This window comes from Homo sapiens, chromosome 12 (assembly GCF_000001405.40).
Source record: "Homo sapiens chromosome 12, GRCh38.p14 Primary Assembly".
Lineage (NCBI taxonomy): Eukaryota > Metazoa > Chordata > Mammalia > Primates > Hominidae > Homo > Homo sapiens.
This window is the reverse complement of record NC_000012.12, coordinates 32,084,296-32,104,019: the sequence shown is the minus strand read 5'-3', so window position 1 is coordinate 32,104,019 and position 19,724 is coordinate 32,084,296. Positions and strand designations below refer to the sequence as shown.

General features: G+C 43.7%; 2 annotated features.

Moving 5' to 3' along the window:
• Positions 14,088 to 14,588: an enhancer, noted in NCBI's record as "NANOG-H3K27ac hESC enhancer chr12:32242366-32242866 (GRCh37/hg19 assembly coordinates)". NCBI's record gives its function as "activates a minimal SCP1, AML or CMV promoter by ChIP-STARR-seq in primed H9 embryonic stem cells {active_cell/tissue: H9 hESC(primed)}" and the evidence as "EXISTENCE:reporter gene assay evidence [ECO:0000049][PMID:30033119]".
• Positions 16,512 to 16,631: a silencer, noted in NCBI's record as "silent region_4334". NCBI's record gives its function as "represses an Ori minimal core promoter by ATAC-STARR-seq in GM12878 lymphoblastoid cells {active_cell/tissue: GM12878}" and the evidence as "EXISTENCE:reporter gene assay evidence [ECO:0000049][PMID:35858748]".

Below are 19,724 nucleotides of genomic sequence, written 5' to 3'. Positions count from 1 at the left end.
AAATTTATTTTCCTATACACCATGCTGTTCCAGTACTGCATAGTTACAGTTCCCTCTTTTTTCGTATATGCCATATGTATTGCATATATATCAATGACAGGTATATAGAAAATAATTTCTTAAAGCATTCCTAGGCTGGGTGTGGTGGCTCATACTGGTAATCCTAGCACTTTGGGAGGCTGAGGCAGAAGGGTCACTTGAGGCCAGCAGTTCAAGACCAGCCTGGGCAACATAGCGAGACCTCATGGCTACAAAAAATTAAAAAATACTAGCTGGGCATGGTAATACATGCCTGTGGTCCCCAATACTTAGGAGGCTGAGGCAGTATGATGGCTTGAACCCAAGAGATTAAGGCTGCAATGTACTGATTGTGCCACTGTGCTCTAGCCTGGTGACAAAGCAAGACTCACCAAAAGAAAAGAAAAAAAGGCCAGGCTCGGTGGCTTACACCTGTAGTCCCAGTACTTTGGGAGGCCGAGGTGGGCGGATCATCTGAGGTCAGGAGTTCGAGACCAGCCCGACCAACATGGTGAAACCCCATCTCTACTAAAAATACAAAAATTAGCTGGGTGTGGTGGTGGGCGCCTGTAATCCCAGCTACTCGGGAGGCTGAGGCAGGAGAATCACTTGAATTCGGGAGTTGGAGGTTGGAGTGAGCAGAGATCCGCCACTGCACTCTAGCCCAAGTGACAGAGTGAGACTCCGTCTCAAAAAAAAGAAAAGAAAAAAAGCAAAAAAAAAAAGCACAAGCTAGTCTACTTGGGTCATATCCAACTTTGCCACTTACTAGCTGTGTGTTTCTCAGTTGTGTCATATCTAAAAAGGAGATAATAATATAATCTAATTATGAGATTGTTGTGAATAGAATAGTATCACACACATAAGCATTTTATATGTGCTTTTTAAAAGTTTTAAAAGAAAAACAAGGATAAAATTTAGGTAGAAAGAAGAAAAAAAGATAATCAGTAGAGATCTCTCTGAAGAAGTGATATTCATTTTATTATCTATGAGGAACAAAAAGGAGTCGGATATACAAAATGTGGGGGAGAAGCTTTTCAGGGAAAGGAAATAATGTGTAAAAGCCAAAGGCAGAAAAGAGCTTGTTGAGTGCAAAGAATAAAAATCTGAGAGGCTGCTGGGTGCAGTGGCTCATGCCTGTAATCTCAGCACTCTGGGAGGCCAAGGTAGGAGGATTATGTGAGCTCAGGAGTTCGAGACCAGCCTGGGCAACATACCAAGACCCCATTTCTACTAAAAAAAAAAAAAATTTTAATCGAACGAGCATGGTGGTGCATACCTGTAGTCCCAGCTACTTGGGAGGCTGAGGTGGGACGATCCCATGAGCCTGGCAGTGAAGGCTACAGTGAGCCATGATCGTGCCACTGCACTCCAGCCTGGGTGACAGAGCAAGACCCTGTCTCAAAAACAAATAAAAAAAAAAAAAAATGAAAGAGGCTGAGGATTAAGAAGCTCAAGGGAAATGGCCTAAGACTATATCAAGAAGTCAGGCAACATCAGAGAGATAGGCGGGAATTATACTTGCCTTGCAAGTCAGAATGAAGAATTTGGGTTTTATTCTCAGGGGAGGCCTTTGATGATTCTTTAGTCAGGAAATGAAATAGTTCTATTTGTATTTTAAGAATGTCAGCTGGATGCAGTGGCTCACGCCTGTAATCCCAGAGCACTGTGGGAGGCTGAGGCAGGCTGATTGCTTGATTCCAGGAGTTCAAGACCAACCTGGACAACATGGTGAAACCCCGTCCCTACAAAAAAAATTTTTTTAATTAAAATTTTTCTACTGCACACACAAAAAAGTTGGAAGATATCAAAAGATAGAAGTAGGGTCCCTAGTTAGGAAGTTGTTGCAGTTGTCCAGGAAAAAGAAAATCATGGCCTAGACTGAGATGATAGCAGCTGGGAAAAGAAGTACATGGATTTATATTGAGGAAGGAGTGGAATGGGAGAGTAGAATTCTTAAGACCTTTTTGAAGACTGAATGTGGGATAGGGAGAAAAAAGGAATCATAAATAAATTCTAATTTTCTGACTTGGGAAGACGGGCCGCCATTTAGTTAGATGGAACAGTTTTAAGAAATCAAGAGTTCTATTTTGAACATATTAGGCTTAAGACACTTTTGAAACATTTGTGGGGTTTTTGTTTTGTTTTTTTGAGATGGAGTCTCCCTCTGTTGCCCAGGCTGGAGTGCAGTGGCGTGATCTCGGCTCACTACAGCCTTTGCCTCCCGGGTTCAAGCGATTCTCCTGCCTCAGCCTCCCAAGTAGCTGGGACTACAGGCATGTGCCACCACACCCAGCTAATTTTTGTATTCTTAATAGAGACGTGGTTTTGCCATGTTGGCCAGGCTGGTCTTGAACTCCTGACCTCAGGTGATCCGCCTGCCTTGGCCTCCCAAAGTGCTGGGATTACAAGCATGAGCCACCGTGCCCAGCCACTTTTGAGATATTTGAATAGAAATATTAAGTCAATAATTTGATGTAAGACAAAAATTAAGAAGAGACTTCTTAGGAGGTATGATGACTTTGCTTTGAAAATCACTAGCGTTAGAGGGCATTGAAACCCATGGAAAACAGATGGGATTATCTAGGGAAAGATGTAAATAAAGAAGAGAAAGGGGTCTAGGATCTAGCCCTGAAGTATCCCTATTAAAGGTTGAGTTGGAAAGGAAAAGCCAGCAAAGAGAGTTGAGAGGGACTGGGTGGGGGGAAAATCAGGAGAGAAACATTTGAAAGGTAACAAAAGAGAAGTGTGTATGAGGAGCGAGGGAATAAGGACCAAGTCAGTGCCAACAAGAGGTCACAGCCAAGTACTATAAGGACACAAAATGTCACTGGATTTGGCAACATGGAGGTGGGTGCTCTTGATAAGATTCATTTGTGTGGAACAGAGAAGGCAGATACCAGGTTGTAGTGGATTACAGCATGAATAGAAATTTAAGATGTGTGCTGGGCGCAGTGGCTCATGCCTGCAATTCCAGAACTTTGGGAGGCCAAGGCAGGCAGATCATCTGAGGTCAAGAGTTTGAGATGAGCTTGGCCAACACGGCGAAACCCTGTCTCTACTAAAAATACAAAAATTAGCCAGGTGTGATGACGCACACCTGTAGTCCCAGCTACTCGGGAGGCTGAGGCAGGAGAATTGCTTGAACCTGGGAGGTGGTGGTTGCAGTGAGCCAAGATCGTGGCACTGCACTCCAGCCTGGGCAACAGAGCGAGACTCCATCTCAAAAAATTTAAGATGTGGAGACAGCCTAATCAGACAACTCCATGTCCCCAGAAATGATGGCAGGGATAACACACAATGAGAGGGTGTATCTGTGGGGCACTGGGGTGCTCTGCTGTGAATGGCCGGTGGGAAATCTTCCCTTCAAGAGCACTTCACATAGTGAGACCTCCAGATGCACTTTCAAGGGAGATGTGTGGCTTCCACACCAGTGCCTTCTGGGGCCAGGACTTCATCTCCAAGCTGCTTGGATACCAGCTCTCTCAGTGGCTGCCCTTGTCCACTTTAATCACCTGTACCCTGTAGGGGTGGGTTGCCCCTACACACCTGTGGGTGTTTCTCGTAAGGTGGGACGAGAGATTTGGAAAAGAAAAAGACACAGAGACAAAGTACAGAGAAAGAAATAAGGGGACCCGGGGAACCAGCGTTCAGCATTTGGAGGATCCCGCCAGCCTCTGAGTTCCCTTAGTATTTATTGATCATCTGTGGGTGTTTCTCAAAGAGGGGGATGTGTCAGGGTCACAAGACAATTGTGGGGAGAGGGTCAGCAGACAAACACGTGAACAAAGGTCTTTGCATCATAGACAATGTAAAGGATTAAGTGCTCTGCTTTTAGATATGCATACACATAAACATCTCAATGCTTTACAAAGCAGTATTGCTGCCCGCAGGTCCCACCTCCAGCCCTAAGGCGGTTTTTCCCTATCTCAGTAGATGGAGCATACAATCGGGTTTTATACCGAGACATTCCATTGCCCAGGGACAGGCAGGAGACAGATGCCTTCCTCTTGTCTCAACTGCAAGAGGCATTCCTTCCTCTTTTACTAATCCTCCTCAGCACAGACCCTTTACGGGTGTCGGGCTGGGGGACGGTCAGGTCTTTCCCTTCCCACGAGGCCATATTTCAGACTATCACATGGGGAGAAACCTTGGACAATACCTGGCTTTCCTAGACAGAGGTCCCTGCGGCCTTCCGCAGTTTTTGTGTCCCTGGGTACTTGAGATTAGGGAGTGGTGATGACTCTTAAGGAGCATGCTGCCCTCAAGCATCTATTTAACAAAGCACATCTTGCACCGCCCTTAATCCATTCAACTCTGAGTTGACACAGCACATGTTTCAGAGAGCACGGGGTTGGGGGTAAGGTCATAGATTAACAGAATCTCAAGGCAGAAGAATTTTTCTTAGTACATAACAAAATGGAGTCTCCTATGTCTACTTCTTTCTACACAGACACAGTAACAATCTGATCTCTCTTGCTTTTCCCCACAGTACCCTTTAGCTGTCATCCTCCTATCCCATCCCCATCCTCCACCCCATTACCCCAGTCCTAAGGAACTACTAAACTATTTTTTGTCTCTATAGCTTTCCCTAATCTTGATATTTCATATAAATAAAATCACATAATATGTAGTCTTTTGTGACTGGCTTCTTTCTTAACATAATGTTTTCAAAATATATCTATGTTGTAGCATATATCATACTACTTTCCTTTTTTTTTTTTTTTTTTTTTTGAGACGGAGTTTCGCTATTGTTGCCCAGGCTGGATGGAGTGCAATGGCATGATCTCGGCTCACCGCAACCTCCGCCTCCCAGGTTCAAGCAATTCTCCTACCTCAGCCTCCTGAATAGCTGGGATTACAGGCATGCGCCACCACGCCCGACTAATTTTTTGTTTGTTTGTTTGTTTGTTTGTTTGTTTTTTGAGACGGAGTCTCGCTCTGTCGCCCAGGCTGGAGTGCAGTGGTGCGATCTCGGCTCACCGCAAGCTCCGCCTCCCAGGTTCACGCCATTCTCCTGCCTCAGCCTCCCGAGTAGCTGGGACTACAGGTGTGCGCCCGCCACCATGCCTGGCTAGTTTTTTTTGTATTTTTAGTAGAGATGGGGTTTCACCCTGTTAGCCAGGATGGTCTCGAACTCCTGACATAGGGTGATCCACCCACCTCAGCTTCCCAAAGTGCTGGGATTACAGGCATGACCCACCGTGCCCGGCCACTGCTTACTTTTTATGGCTGAATAATATTGCATTGTTAGATATACCACCTTTGCATCCATCATCAGTTTATGGGCACTCGGGTTATTTCCACCTTTTGGCTATTATGAATAATATGTTATAAACATCGTGTACAACTTTCTTGTGGACGTATGTTTTCATTTCTTTTGGGCATACCTGGAAGTGGAATTGCTAAGTCATGTGTTAACTCAAAGTTTCATGTTTGGAAGGACTTCTGGATTGTTCTCCAAAGTGGCTGAACCATTTTACATTCCCAACACCAGTGTACAAGGGGTCTGATTTCTCCGTATCCTTGACAACCATGGTATCATCTGAATTTTTGAGTCCAGCCACCCTAGTAGATGTAAAGTAGCATATTTTGTTGCGATTTTGATTTGCAATTCTATGATGGCTAATTATGTTGAGCACTTTTTTATGTGTTTCTTGGCCATTTGTTTATCTTTGTTGGCAAAATGCCTGTCCAGATCCTTTGTCTATTGTTTGAGTTAGTTATCATTTTATTACTGAATGTATGGGTTCTTTGTATACTCTAGATACAAGCCCCTTATCAGATATTTGATTTGGAATGATTTTCTCTCATCCAGGGGATTGTCCTTTTACATTTTTAAATGGTCCTTTAGCCGGGCGCAGTGGCTCATGCCTGTAATCCCAGAACTTTGGGAGGCTGAGGTGGGTGGATCACTTGAGGCCAGGAGTTGGAGATGAGCCTGGCCAACATGATGAAACCCTGTCTCTACAAAAATAAAAAAATAAGCCGGATGTGATGGTGCATGCCTGTAATCCCAGCTACTTGGGAGGCTGAGGCAGGAGAATCGCTTGAACCTGGAGCGGAGGTCTCACCACTGCACTCCAGCCTGGGTGACAGGGTGAGATTCTGTCTCAAAATAATAAGTAAATAAATAAAGTGGTCCTTTAAAAAATGAAAGTTTTTAATTTTGATGAAGTCCAATTTATTTTTTCTTTTGTTTGTGCTTTTAGTGTCGTATCATTGCCAACTCTGAGGTTGAGAAGATTTAGACCTGTTTTATTTTTTAAATTTTTTAGTTTCAGCTCTTACATTTAGGTTTCTGGTTCATTTTGAATTAATTTCTTTAAATTGTGTGAGGTGAGGGTTCAATGTCATCCTTTGCAGGTGGCTATCCTGTTGTCCCAGCATCATTTGTCGAAAGGCTATTCTTTCCCCACTGAATGGTTTTGATACCCTTGTCAAAAGTCACTTGACCATAGACATATGGGTTTATTTCTAGACTCTCAAATCTATTCCATTGGTCTATATGTCCATCGATCTTAGTCCATTCAGACGTCTATAAGAAAATGCATGAGACTGGGTAATTAAAGAGCAGAAATGTATTTCTGCTCAGTTCTAGAGGCTGGGAAGTACAAGATCAAGGTGCCAGCAGAGTTGGTGTCTGGCGAGGGCTGCTCTCTGCTTCCAAGGTGGTACCTTCCTGCTGTGTCTTCCATGGTGGAAGAGCAGAAGCGAAAAAAAAAAAAAAAAAAAAAAAAGGCCTAGGCTAGTTCCCCATGTCCCTTTTATAAAGCACTAATCCCATCCGTGAGGGCAGAACCCGCATGCCTGAATCACCCCCTAAAGGTCTCACCTCTTAAACTGTTGCATTGGGGAATAACTTCCAACATGAATTCTGGAAGGGACACAGACATTCAAACCATCACACTATTTATGGTGTTACCACAATGTCTTGTTTACCATTGCTGTGTAGTAATTTTGAAATCAGGAAATGTGAATCCTGTAATAGAACTTGCCACACAGGCTGAGGTTTCAGGGAATGTCAGAGAGTAGATGAAGCTAGAAGGTCACAGCTTTTACTCAGGATTCTAAAGTAAAACTTAGGTAAAAAGGCTATTGTGGCTGGGCACAGTGGCTCACGCCTGTAATCCCAGCACTTTGGGAGGCCAAAATGGGCAGATCACTTGAGGTCAGCAGTTTGAGACTAGCCTGGCCAACATGGTGAAACCCCGTCTCTACTAAAAATACAAAAATTAGCTGGGCCTGCTGGTGCACATCTGTAATCCCAGCTACTCGGGAGCTGAGGCAGGAGAATCGCTTGAACCCAGGAGGTGGAGGTTGCAGTGAGCTGAGCTCACACCTTGGATTCTAGCCTGGGTGACAGAGCGAAACTCCATCTCAAAAAAAAAAAAAAAAAAAAAAAGAAAGAAAGAAAGAAAGGGCAGGCGCAGTGGCTCACACCTGTAATCCCAGCACTTTGGGAGGCTGAGGAGTGCAGATCACCTGAGGTCAGGAGTTTGAGACCAGCCTGGCCAACATGGTGAAACCCCATCTCTACTAAAAATACAAAAATTAGCTGGGCATGGTAGTGTGTGCCTGTAGTCCCAGCTACTCGGGAGGCTGAGGCAGGAGAATCGCTTGAACCTGGGAGGTAGAGATTGCAGTGAGCCAAGATCGAGCCACTGCACTCCAGCCTGGGTGACAGAGCAAGACTTCATCTCAAAAAAAAAAAAAAGAAAAAGAAAAAAAGAAAAAGAAAAGAAAGCAAGCAAAAAAAAAGAAAAGAAAAAAAAAGGCTATTGTGACTTAGAAAACAATTCATGTATCTCATAACATGCCCTGAAGGAAGAATTGGCTATTTCCTGGTTAGCACAGTATTCCACAGCCTGGGAATAAGAAGTTGGTTCCCTAACAGGAAAGCATCAGTCTTCTTTTCTTAGAAGAATAGACAGACCTGACTTTAAAACTTAGTCATCCTACTCTTCCAAGCTATTTGATCTTATACAAATTATCTGCTCAAAGTCTTGGTTTCCTCATTTGCTAATAAGGAACAATTATGCCTACTTCATAGAGAGGTTATAAGGATTAAATGAAGATATGCCTGTAAAATACCTAGCACAAGTGCTCATGTCTTTCTTTTTCCCAGGACCTTCCTTCTGATGATGGAATAATATTTGTCAAGAAGTTCCGGAATAAAAAACAAACACAAAGACAAAGATAAAAAGCTTGTGGATGAGAAACTAGATGTGCCTTTGGTGTGGAAACTCTGTTCTGGATGTCCTTAGACTGTAATTTAAGGAGACTCATAACGGAGATTTGAGATTTAATGCATATCGGAATTTGTATGGAAGTTGAAATAGCCCAAGGAGAGAATCTAGAATGAAAAGAAAGGACTGAGAAGGAATTTGAGGCAATACCCATATTTAAGGAGCAGTAGGGAAAAGGGTAAGGTGAGATTCTTGAAGAAGGTGTAGTTCTTGCAGTATTTTGTGTATATGTGTGTGTGTGTGTGTGTGCATGCTATTAAAATAATCTCAAGCTTGTTAGTTTAGCCTCTTCCCCTTAAATATAAAGAGCTTCCCCTTACCGGCCCTATTTTGTCATACTGATGTCCTAGGGCATGGTTACAGAGGATGCTCATACAGGGTAATGAATGATGAACCCAACAGAGTCTTGTGGTGAGGCAATTGTCAGTTTAATGCAAGTTCAGGAAGGAGCAAGGCCCTCTCCATATCTCTGTGAGAAGAGATTGGGGTAGACCCTGGGGTGGTGGTAATGGGCAGGTTGCCATTCAGGTGAAGGCCTGTCTGACAGGGAATGAGGAGTCAGCTCCCAAACCTCTCCTGGGGACAGAAATCTCCTAGCTCTGGGCTCTCTCTCTCATGGACAACTTCAGAGATTAGCTTTTTAGGTTTCTAAAGGCCCCTCTGGAAATCCTTCACATTGCTACGTTTCTCCCCAGTTTTTTCCCCCACATGGTCTTTATGCCTCATCATATACATGCCTGCTTCCTAATCAAATCAAATCAAAACTGTTTTCTTCTTCTTTCCCCTTGGTTTGATGGTCGGTCATACCTAGAACCCAAGCAATTAGTACCTGAAAACTGATGCCTCTTTCTAAGATATTCCAACCCATCCAGAAATTGTCTTTCATCTTTCTATTCAGTAAATAAAAGAAAAAAAATTTCTATAGCAAGAAAAACTAAAGATTCAGACCTTGCTCCATATATATAAATTTTTTTTGAGACAGTCTTGCTGTCGCCCAGGCTGGAGTGCAGTGGCACGATCTCAGCTCACTGCAGCTCCATATATATGTTAAACATTGTTGAGATTACATATTACATACAGTTTTGTATCCTGCTTTATTTAATACTATAGTTTGAGAACATTTTCATATTACCAAAAGACATCCTAAACATCATGTTTAACACCTATATAATTGATCATTTCATATTACAATATTTTTCACCTTTCCTGTCTCTAGTATAATGGTCTTTAATGCATAAAAGACTGACAAAATAGGCTGGGCACAGTGGCTCACACGCAGTACTTTGGGAGGCCAAGGCAGGCAGATGGCTTGAGCCCAGGAGTTCGAGACCAGCTGAGGCAACATGGCAAAACCCCATCTCCACAAAAAATACAAAATTAGCCAGGTGTGATGGAACATGCCTGTAGTCTCAGCTATCCAGGAGGCTGAGGTAGGAGGACCACCTAAGCCTGGCAAGATGGAGGCTACAGTGAGCCAAGATAACATCACCACACTCCAGCCTGAGAGCAACATCCTGTCTCAAAAAAAAAAGGTGGGGGGGCTTACAAAATAGAAAAGATGAATTCTACATATTTGTTGAAAAGCACAATCTCAGTCTCTCATTTCTCACAGCATCTATCAAAGGCTATCAGTCCACTCACTCTCAGGTACCCTACGATCCCCCAAGCAGTAGGGACCTGGGTGCCTGAGCCACATCCTTGTTGCTTGTTACCATGTTTTGATGTTGGGCCATAAGCCCTAAGAGAAAAGCTAGAAGACTCAACCCAGTGGAAGTGATTGTATTCGTCTGTGCTCACACTGCTAATAAAGACATACCTGAGATTGGGTAATTTATCAAGGAAAGGGGTTTAACTGACTCACAGTTCAGCATGGCTGGGGAGGCCTCAGGAAACTTACAATATATGTCCTTCTTCACATGGTGGCAGCAAGGATAAGTGCAGAGCAAAAGGGAGAAAGCCGAAAGCCTCTTATAAAACTATCAAATCTCATGAGAACTCACTATCGCGAGAACAGCATGGAGGTAACTGCCCCCTTGATTCAGTTACCTCCCACCGGGTCCCTCCCATGACACGTGGGGATTATGGAAACTACAATTCAATATGAGATTTGGGTGGGGACACAGCCAAACCATATCAGTGGTCATCTTGTCTAAACAAGGATGCTGTTGAGCTCATTATCCATTAGCTCACACAGTGTCTCTTTTTACAAGAACATTTTGTGTTCTGCAGAATAAATCTATGTCTGGTCTTACTACCTAGAATCGTTGGCTTCTTCTGAGTAATTGGCCTGCTTTTATCTTATGGATACTGTAAATTGTATGACTGATCAGATTTCCTTTTATCCACAGGCTGCTAGAAAGCTTCTAGCCAAATTTGTGGTCCTCTTAGCAAGTGTATAGGTCAAATGATATATATTTTTGGCCTCATTCCTGGCTCTGTTTTATGTCTGTCTTTGCCATTGTTTTTCTCTCTCCTACAGAATACTTGAGATTATCTTGTATTTTATACAGCTCCGCCTGCTGCCTTAAGCCTCTTCTGAAACTAGGCAGTTAAGCATACTGGTTCAGAGCCTGCCTCTGGCATTAGAGCCACTGTCCCTCCATTTTTTCTGTACCTCAGTTTCCTCCTCCATAAAAAGGAAATACAGTATTTGCTTCACAGAGTTCTGATGAGGATTAAATGACAAAATACATGTAAGGACCTCAGATGTGTGGCTAGCTTGTGGTTAAGCGCTTAAAAGAAATTTTAAAATAATTACAAAGAAGTCGTTGTAATCATTCTCCTATTATTGGAGTTTAACCTTGTATAACTAACTCACTCCAAGTAGAGTTAGTACTAGGTCCAAGAGTGTGAATGTTTTGAAGGCTGTGAACTAGTTTATGTATCAGTTGGAGTGGAAAAGAGCTCCAGCTTTCCCATGCCTTTATCAATGCTGAATGCTATTACTTTTAAAACTCTTTGCCAATTTGGGCCGGGTGCGGTGGCTCACGTCTGTAGTAACAGCATTTTGGAAGGCCGACGCGGGCAGATCACGAGGTCAGGAGATCGAGACCATCCTGGCTAACACGGTGAAACCCCGTCTCTACTAAAAATACAAAAAAATTAGCCAGCCGAGGTGGCGGGCGCCCGTAGTCCCAGCTACTCGGGAGGCTGAGGCGGGAGAATGGCGTCAACCCAGGAGGCGGAGCTTGCAGTGAGCCGAGATCGCGCCACTGCACTCCAGCCTGGGCGACAGATGGAGAAAAAAAAAAAGACTCTTTGCCAATTTGACAGGTAAAAAAGGAGTATCATCTTATTGTCCTTCCAATGTACATTTTATTGGTAACTAATGAGATCGAACCTTCTGACTCAAACCACTACATTTATTTATTTATTATTTCTATTTCTTCTCTTTCTTTCCATCTTTTGCAATTTTTCCATTGCGGTCTTTGTGTTTCCTTTAATCTATTTAAATAAGATGATGGACTCTTATTTTCTGTCTCCAGTCATCTGCTGAGAGGGAGTCGGAGTACAGGGGCTTGAAAGAGGTAAGATTCACAGGCAGAAACAGAAAAAGGGTGACCAAGAACACGTAAACGATCAGACCAGCATGTGAGTCCTGCAGAGTGAGCTGTCATCTGATTAGCTGAGAATGGATGCACAGTTCTAAAATCTAAACACAGTTTATAGAAGAACATACCCATAATCTGTCTCCTCTTGTTCTTTTAAAACATGACCAATTCCAGAAAAAAATCATCATTGTTTTGTTCTTTAAGTGGGAAATAAAATTCCTTGAATCACAAAGTAATTTTAAGATGCTAATCAAACCCTTAGCTGTTACAAAGACTGTTTGCAGATGAGTAATTATTTTTGTTGCCATGGAACCCCAGCTGATGCTATGGGCATGGAACCAGCTTGCACAGATCATTTTTATCAAACCAAGTCAAACCAATCAGTATAGCTACTAAATCATTTCAGTTTAAAACGCTTTCTCTCATTGCTGGTGGAGGGAAGTTAGATGGTTTGGCACTGTTTTGCACACCCAGCTCAACTTCTTAGTTCTCTTTTTTGACATTTTTGCTTTTTCTGTTCTTTTTATTTATATTTTATTTTATTTTATTTATTTGTTTGTTTTTGAGTCAGAGTCTTGCTCTGTCACCCAGGCTGGAGTGCAGTGGTGCGATTACAACACATTGCAGCCTCAACTTCCCAGGCTCAAGCAATTTTCCCACCTCAGCCTCCCAAGTAGCTGGGGCTACAGGTGTGAGCCACCATGCCCAGCTAATTTTTTATTTTTTGTAGTGACGAGGTCTCACTATATTGCCCAGGCTGGTCTCAAACTCCTGGGATCAAGCAATCTTCCTGCCTTGGCCTCCCAAAGTGCTAGGGTTACAGGCTTGAGCCACTGCACCCAGCCTGTTCTTTTTAAAAAAAATTTAATAAGTACAAAGCACATGCCATAATAGTATTCTGATTTCTCCTAATAAGGACCCTGGGTATCTCAGCCTATTTTCATGAGGATACTGAGTACCAAAATATACTGTGGGCAGCCCATGATCACATGCTGGACAGAGCGACACAAGCCTTATATACAACTTCTTTAATGTGCTACTAGAGTTTCTGGGTGACTGAGGAGAACACAGTTACAAACTCTTGGTTTTAATTTGGTAAACAAACTTGAAGGTTGATTCCATTGTGCTTTTCTCTAACTTAAAAAAAAAATAACAGCAGGGCATGGTGGCTAACACCTGTAATCTCAGCACTTTGGGAGGCTGAGGCAGGAGGATCATTTGAGCCCAGAAGTTCAAGACCAGCCTGAGCAACATAGCAGAAACTCCATTTGTAGAAAAATTTAAAAATTACCCAGACATGGTGGCACGCACCTGTAATCCCAGCTATTTGGGAGGCTGAGGTGGGAGAATCATTTGAGCCCAGGAGGTTGAGACTGCAGTGAGCTGAGATTGTGTGACTGCACTCCAGCCTGGATGACAGAGCAAGACCCTGTCTCAAAAAAAAACACACACACACACACAAACATGATTTGGATAGATAGATAGATAGATAGATAGATAGATAGATAGATAGATAAACTTACCCCTTACAACACCCCAGGCCCCAGGATACTAAGGGTAATAATAAAATATTATTATTATTATTCCCATTTTATGGTGAGGAAATGAAGGCACAGAGAAGTTATACACCTTACGTGAGGCCTTACAGCTGATAAACGATGTTTGTCAACTCTGAACTGTCTTTCCTAGGCCAGGTATTCCTCTCTCACTCCACTTTCTACTACTTCCTCCTATCCTCACTGAGTGTCTACAAATTATAAGTCACGTTCTCTACCAAAATGCTATAATGGATAAAACAGTGGACTAGTAGTCACAAGACTTAGATTCATGTCCCATGTGGCCATGGTAAAGTCACTTAACCCCACTGGGCTTCGGTTTCACCATCTGTCACATGAGAATAATAATAATACTAACTTCACAGGGCAGTCACAGAAATCAAGTGAGATGACGGAGGTGAAAGATCTTTGTAAGGTGAAAAGTTGAAGCAACTCCTATGATTTTTCATTACCTCTGCTAGTGAGTGTTGTCAGTGAGGTTTCACAGAACAGGTGATATTGGAACCAAGTTGTGAAGTGGGGATGTGTGTTCTGAGATAATCACAGATCACTTACTGAACAACTCTGGTGTTCCAGGCTCTGTGCTAAGAACTATATACACATTGTCTCATTTAGTGCCATCAACAGCTCTATCAGCTCTTTCAGGTAGGCCCTGCTCACACTGCTCACATAAAGGCCTGCTAGCATGATTCAAGAATGGTTTGGTCACGTCGCTGTCGACCAGTCACAGCCCAAAGAGAGAGTGCTGGTGGCTGGAACAATAAACTGTGCAGACTTTGAAGGTGGCAGCCCAGGTCCTCAGAATGAGCAGATCTGCAGGAGCCAAGCCATGCACTGTGAGCTCAATTAAGACACAACAGGAACAATTCCCTTTGGTCAGTGGCCACATCCTGTGAGGGTATAGCCTGGGGCATAACTGGCATGTCAGTTCCATCTGGCTTTTTCCATTGCATTGGGAGACTTTGGAGGCTTTTCTTAATTGGTTTTGACAATGATTCTGGTTTAAGCCTTGTCTGCCCTCAGTCACATCAAGAGCACAAAAGCATAAAAAGACTAGAAACCCTGGATTGCCTCCAAAATGGACCTCCAACTTATAAAGCAACAAGCTAATGAATGCATTTTAAGGCATACGCGATGCAAATGAGCCACGTGAAAAAAAAAACAGAGTTGGTGATTTTTTTTCATGTTTCTAAACATCACTCCTGAAGCATTTAGTACAACTGAAAAATTGGAATGGACAACTGAAGCAATTGCTACACAAAACATGAAATACCAAGGGCATGAGGGACGGGCTTTCCAGACTATGGGAGGATATCGTGAAGCTGAACATGCAGGGCCCCAAGGGAAGAAATCTGGTTGAGCAATGTGGACAGGGTGGGCTGGGGGATAACTCATATCACAACATAACCAACTAATTTTTAAAAATCACTTTTTCACCTCAGGACCAGAGATTCTATTACTCACCCCCAAGACAAAACTGAAGAAATCCTGGCCCCTCTTAATTGTTTACATGAATGTGATGGGCCAAATTCTGATGAGATAAGTGAGTGAGGCTGGCTCCATCTCGCATGTGGCTAAGGCAAGACTGATGCATTTATTACCCATCTTGTTACGTGGAAAATATTCTCCGTGATATACCTGTTCCACCCTTCAGCTCTGGCTGAGTATAGACAGGTAGAGGTGCACTCAAAGCCACTTCCTTCCATAAGACCAGGCGTATGAGCTCAGAAGGACTCCTCACAGAAAACAAGGGAGGTGGGCAGAAGAAACTCGGGTCACCAGGAAGGTGTCGGTGTCAAGCTACACTTACTTTGACCTTTTGCCCTAAAGAGAATGCTCTCTTAGCAACCTTTCCAAATATATATACAGCCTAGGACAATGGATGCCGAGTGATGGCTCCATTATTAATCCACCAAACCATGTTTAAAGCTATTTACTTCATAATATTAGGTCCAAACCATACTTGGCTCTTCTGGATGGAGGCTGAAAATGAACATTGTAGGTGCAAACAATCTCTCTCTCTCTCTTTTTTTTTTTTTAGGGGGAGTCTCACTCTTCTTGCCCAGGCTGGAGTGCAATGGCATGGTCTCGGCGCACTACAACCTCCACCTCCTGGATTCAAGCATTTCTCCTTCCTCAGCTTCCCAAGTAGCTGGGATTACAGGTATGCACCACCACACCTGGCTAATTTTGTATCTTTAGTAGAGATGGGGTTTCACCATGTTCGTCAGGCTGATCTCGAACTCCTGACCTCAGATGATCCGCCCACCTTGGCCTCCCAAAGTGCTGGGATTACAGGTGTGAGCCACAGCGCCCGGCCAGGTGCAAACAATCTCTAATGGAACATGTTTGAGACCAAAGGGAATGATTTTCGTATGTCTTCATTGAGCTCGCCAGTGCATGGCTTGGGTTCTTGTAGATTCATTCATTTTTGAAGACATGGGTTAACATGTTCAAAGCCTGTGCAAAATTCTGTGATTTTTTTGAAAAAACAGGACACAGAATAAGTTGAGTTAGGAGGATCCTGTGGAATGACAGTTATAGTAACTAACTGTAGCCAACTGTGACCTACTTCTAACTAAAGGCAATATGCATTATCGATCAAAAAAATAACCTGACTGGGCTCAGTGGCTCACGCCTATAATCCCAACACTTTGGGAGGCCAAAGCAGGCAGATCACCTTATAGTAATAAGGTGGATCATCTTATAGTAATGATAAGAGTCAACCTAGCCTACAGTGGGAAATTGAACTATGGCCACCAGTTGGCCTTAGGAAAAATTACAAAAGATGGGAGCAGGAGAGGGGAAATAGGTCAATCCCGAATCATTCAACTGAACTTATAATAAGGAATATGTTCAAACATTGAAAGGGAAGGCAAAAAGAGTAACAAAATAGATGATCAAATCATGAATAGAAAATATGTAGTTGTTTTATAAATGTTACACCTTCTTCACATTGGAGTTCAAATACGTACGGAAATAAGAAACTTGTTATTGTGTTTCTCCTCTATATACTGGCATGGAAAAGGTGATGAGCCTTTATAACTGGGACTGCAAAGATATTGAGCCAGCCATTTACCATTTCAGAAGCTGTGTGTTTTGCAATATGCGGGTGTGGGTGGGTCAAATGTCCTTCTTAGGGATTCCCCTCTACCGTCAGGAAGCCACCCAGCATGCTAATCAGAAAGCCCAGTCTTGGGGCAGCTGCTACAAGTGCTTTCTCTTTAATGAGCACCTGAGACTTTTAAAGTTAGCATGGGCCCGCAGCAGTGGCTCACACCTGTAATCCCAGCACTTTTGGAGGCTGAGAAGAGGGATCACTGAGCCCAGGTGTTCATGACTAGCCTGGGCAACACAGGGAGACCCTGTCTCTACAAAAAATTAAAAAATTAGCCAGAAATGGTGGTGCATGCCTGTAGTCCCAGCTACTCAGGAAGCTGAGATGGGAAGATTGCTTAAGCCTAGAGCGTTGAGGCTGCATGAGCTGTGATCATGCCACTGCACTCCAGCCGGGGCGACAGAGAAAGGCCCTGTCTCAATAAAATAAAATAAAATAAAGTTAGCATCATTATGTTAGAAATGAGTTTCCAGTGTTAAAATTGGTAGTGGTAGGCCAGACGTGGTGGCTCACACCTGTAATCACAGCACTTTGGGAGGCCAAGTCAGGCAGATCACAAGGTCAGGAGTTCAAGACCAGCCTGGCCAATATGGTGAAATCCCATCTCTACTAAAAATACAAAAATTAGCCGAGCATGGTGGTAGGCGCCTGTAGTCCCAGCTACTTGGGAGGCTGAGGCAGGAAAATTGCTTGAACACGGGAGCCAGAGGTTACAGTGAGCTGAGATTGCTCCACTGCACTCCAGCCTGGCAACAGAGCGAAACTTCATCTCAAAAAAAAAAAAAAAGGCTGGGCGCGATGGCTCACGCCTGTAATCCCAGCACTCAGGAGGCTGAGGAGGGTGGATCACCTGAGGTCGAGATTTCGAGATCAGCCTGACCAACGTGGTGAAACCTCGTCTCTACTAAAAATACAAAAATTAGCTGGGCATGGTGGCAGACGCCTTTAATCCCAGCTACACAGGATGCTGAGGCAGGAGAATCACCTGAACCCAGGAGGCAGAGGTTGCAGTGAGCCAAGATCGCACCACTGTACTACAGCTTGGGTGACAGAGAAAGACTCCATCTCAAAAAAAAAAAAAAAAATGAGCAGGTTGTACGAACGGTTGTGTGCTTGCTTGCTGATAAGCGCATGCTCTATACAAATATATATGGGTGGCCTAATTTTGTCGAAACCTTGCTTTCATTATAACCGGGTACTCAGGGGTGGGGAGTAGCTAACTGTGACCCACTTCTAACTAAAGGCAATATGCGTTATCGATCAAAAAAATAACCTGACCGGGCACGGTGGCTCATGCCTGTAATCCCAGCACTTTGGGAGGCCGAGGCATGCAGATCACCTGAGGTCAGGAGTTCGAGACCAGCCTGGCCAACGTAGTGAAGCCCTGTCTCTACTAAAAATACAAAAATTAGCTGGGTATGGTGGCACACACCTGTAGTCCCAGCTACTCGGGAGGCTGAAGCAGGAGAATCGCTTGAACCTGGGAGGCGGAGATTGCAGTGAGCCAAGATCACGCCACTGCACTCCAGCCTGGGTGACAGATCGAGACTCTGTCTCAAAAAAAATAAAAATAGGTGCCGGGCGCGGTGGCTTACACCTGTAATCCCAGCACTTTGGGAGGCCGAGGTGGGCAGATCACGAGGTCAGGAGATCGAGACCATCCTGGCTAACACGGTGAAACTCCGTCTCTACTAAAAATACAAAAAATTAGCCGGACATGGTGACAGGTGCCTGTAGTCCCAGCTACTCGGGAGGCTGAGGCAGAATGGCGTGAACGCAGGAGGCCGAGCTTCCAGTGAGCTGAGATGACGCCACTGCACTCCAGCCTGGGTGACACAGCGAGACTCCATCTCAAAAAAATAAAAATAAAAAATAAAATAATAATAATAAAAAAACCTAACATTTAGGTAAGTTCAAATGATGTTATGTCAGTTAACAACTATGTTCAATATTCATTTCACTCTTCCTCCTTTGTGTAAAGGTTGTGGTATTTTGGTAGTGTTGACTCTTCCACCTGGTGGCTCTTAGTCAAGTCTTTGAGAGGGGCCTATAAGTAGTGCCTCTCACATGAGCCCGGGAGGCGGAGCTTGCAGTGAGCCAGAATAGCACCACTGCACTCCAGCCTGGGTGACAGAGCGAGACTCCGTATCAGAAAAAAAAAAAAAAGAAAAAATAGTGCCTCTCTTCCCACCTGGGTTCAGGGCCCATTGAAAAACAATCCAAAGGAAATGGCCAAATCATATATCGCCTGAGAGCACAGGGGGAGGGACAATGATCGGGATATAAACCCAGACATTCAAGCAGGGAGCGGCAACCTCCTTTGGGTCCCCTCCCATTTTATGGGAGCTCTGTTTTCACTCTATTAAATTTTGCAACTGCAAAGAAAAAAAGAAAAAAAAGAAAAGAAAAATAATCCAAAGGAATAAGGGAAATGGAGGTTCAAATATTGCTTTTATTACTAATAAAGGGTAATTTGAAAGATGAAGCTCTGTATGAAAGACCCAATGATGGTGCTAACTCCCTATCCTCCAGTTTACTATTCCTATCCTCAGAACACCTCACGTGAGGGCAAGCTTGGTACTGCAGAGCCGACACATAACCCTAGTGGCCACCTTCATTGGACTGGGAAGACAGAGAAGTAGAAACAGACCAAAATCTTCATGCTTGGGACCTTTGATAATTTAGCTTCACCCAATCAAGAAATGAGGCCCAATGGCTGTCATTAACAGTCAGGCAACATGTCCAATCCACACGGAGAATATTAAGAGATGGAGCAAGTGGCATTATCTCAAAACACCTAGTATTAAGAAAAAAATGCACCAACAAATACCTTATGCGGTGTTCCATCATCAGATCACTGTCCTTCCATGTCCTTAGACCACAATCAAGCAAAAGGCAAGAATTAGCTGCTCTTCAGGAGCCTCCTCCCCCGACTCAGTCCATCCCCACCAGCTACACCTGTCGGGTAGAGGATAAAGGATCTGTAAGTCTGGGGCCTCCCTGCAGTTCCACAACATAGCACTCCGAGCACAGTGCACAGCTAACCACGACCGTCCCCACTGGAAACACTGCCACCTCCAGGGTATTATCTGGGAGCAGATCAGTATTCCGCACCAGCTTAAGAAGGAATTCTCATCCTCCGTTCCTTCCAAACTTGAAGAGCTCCTTTCTGCTCTTAGCTCTTCAGTTATGCAAACATAAACCCAGGAATGTGACATTGAAGTCATCTCCA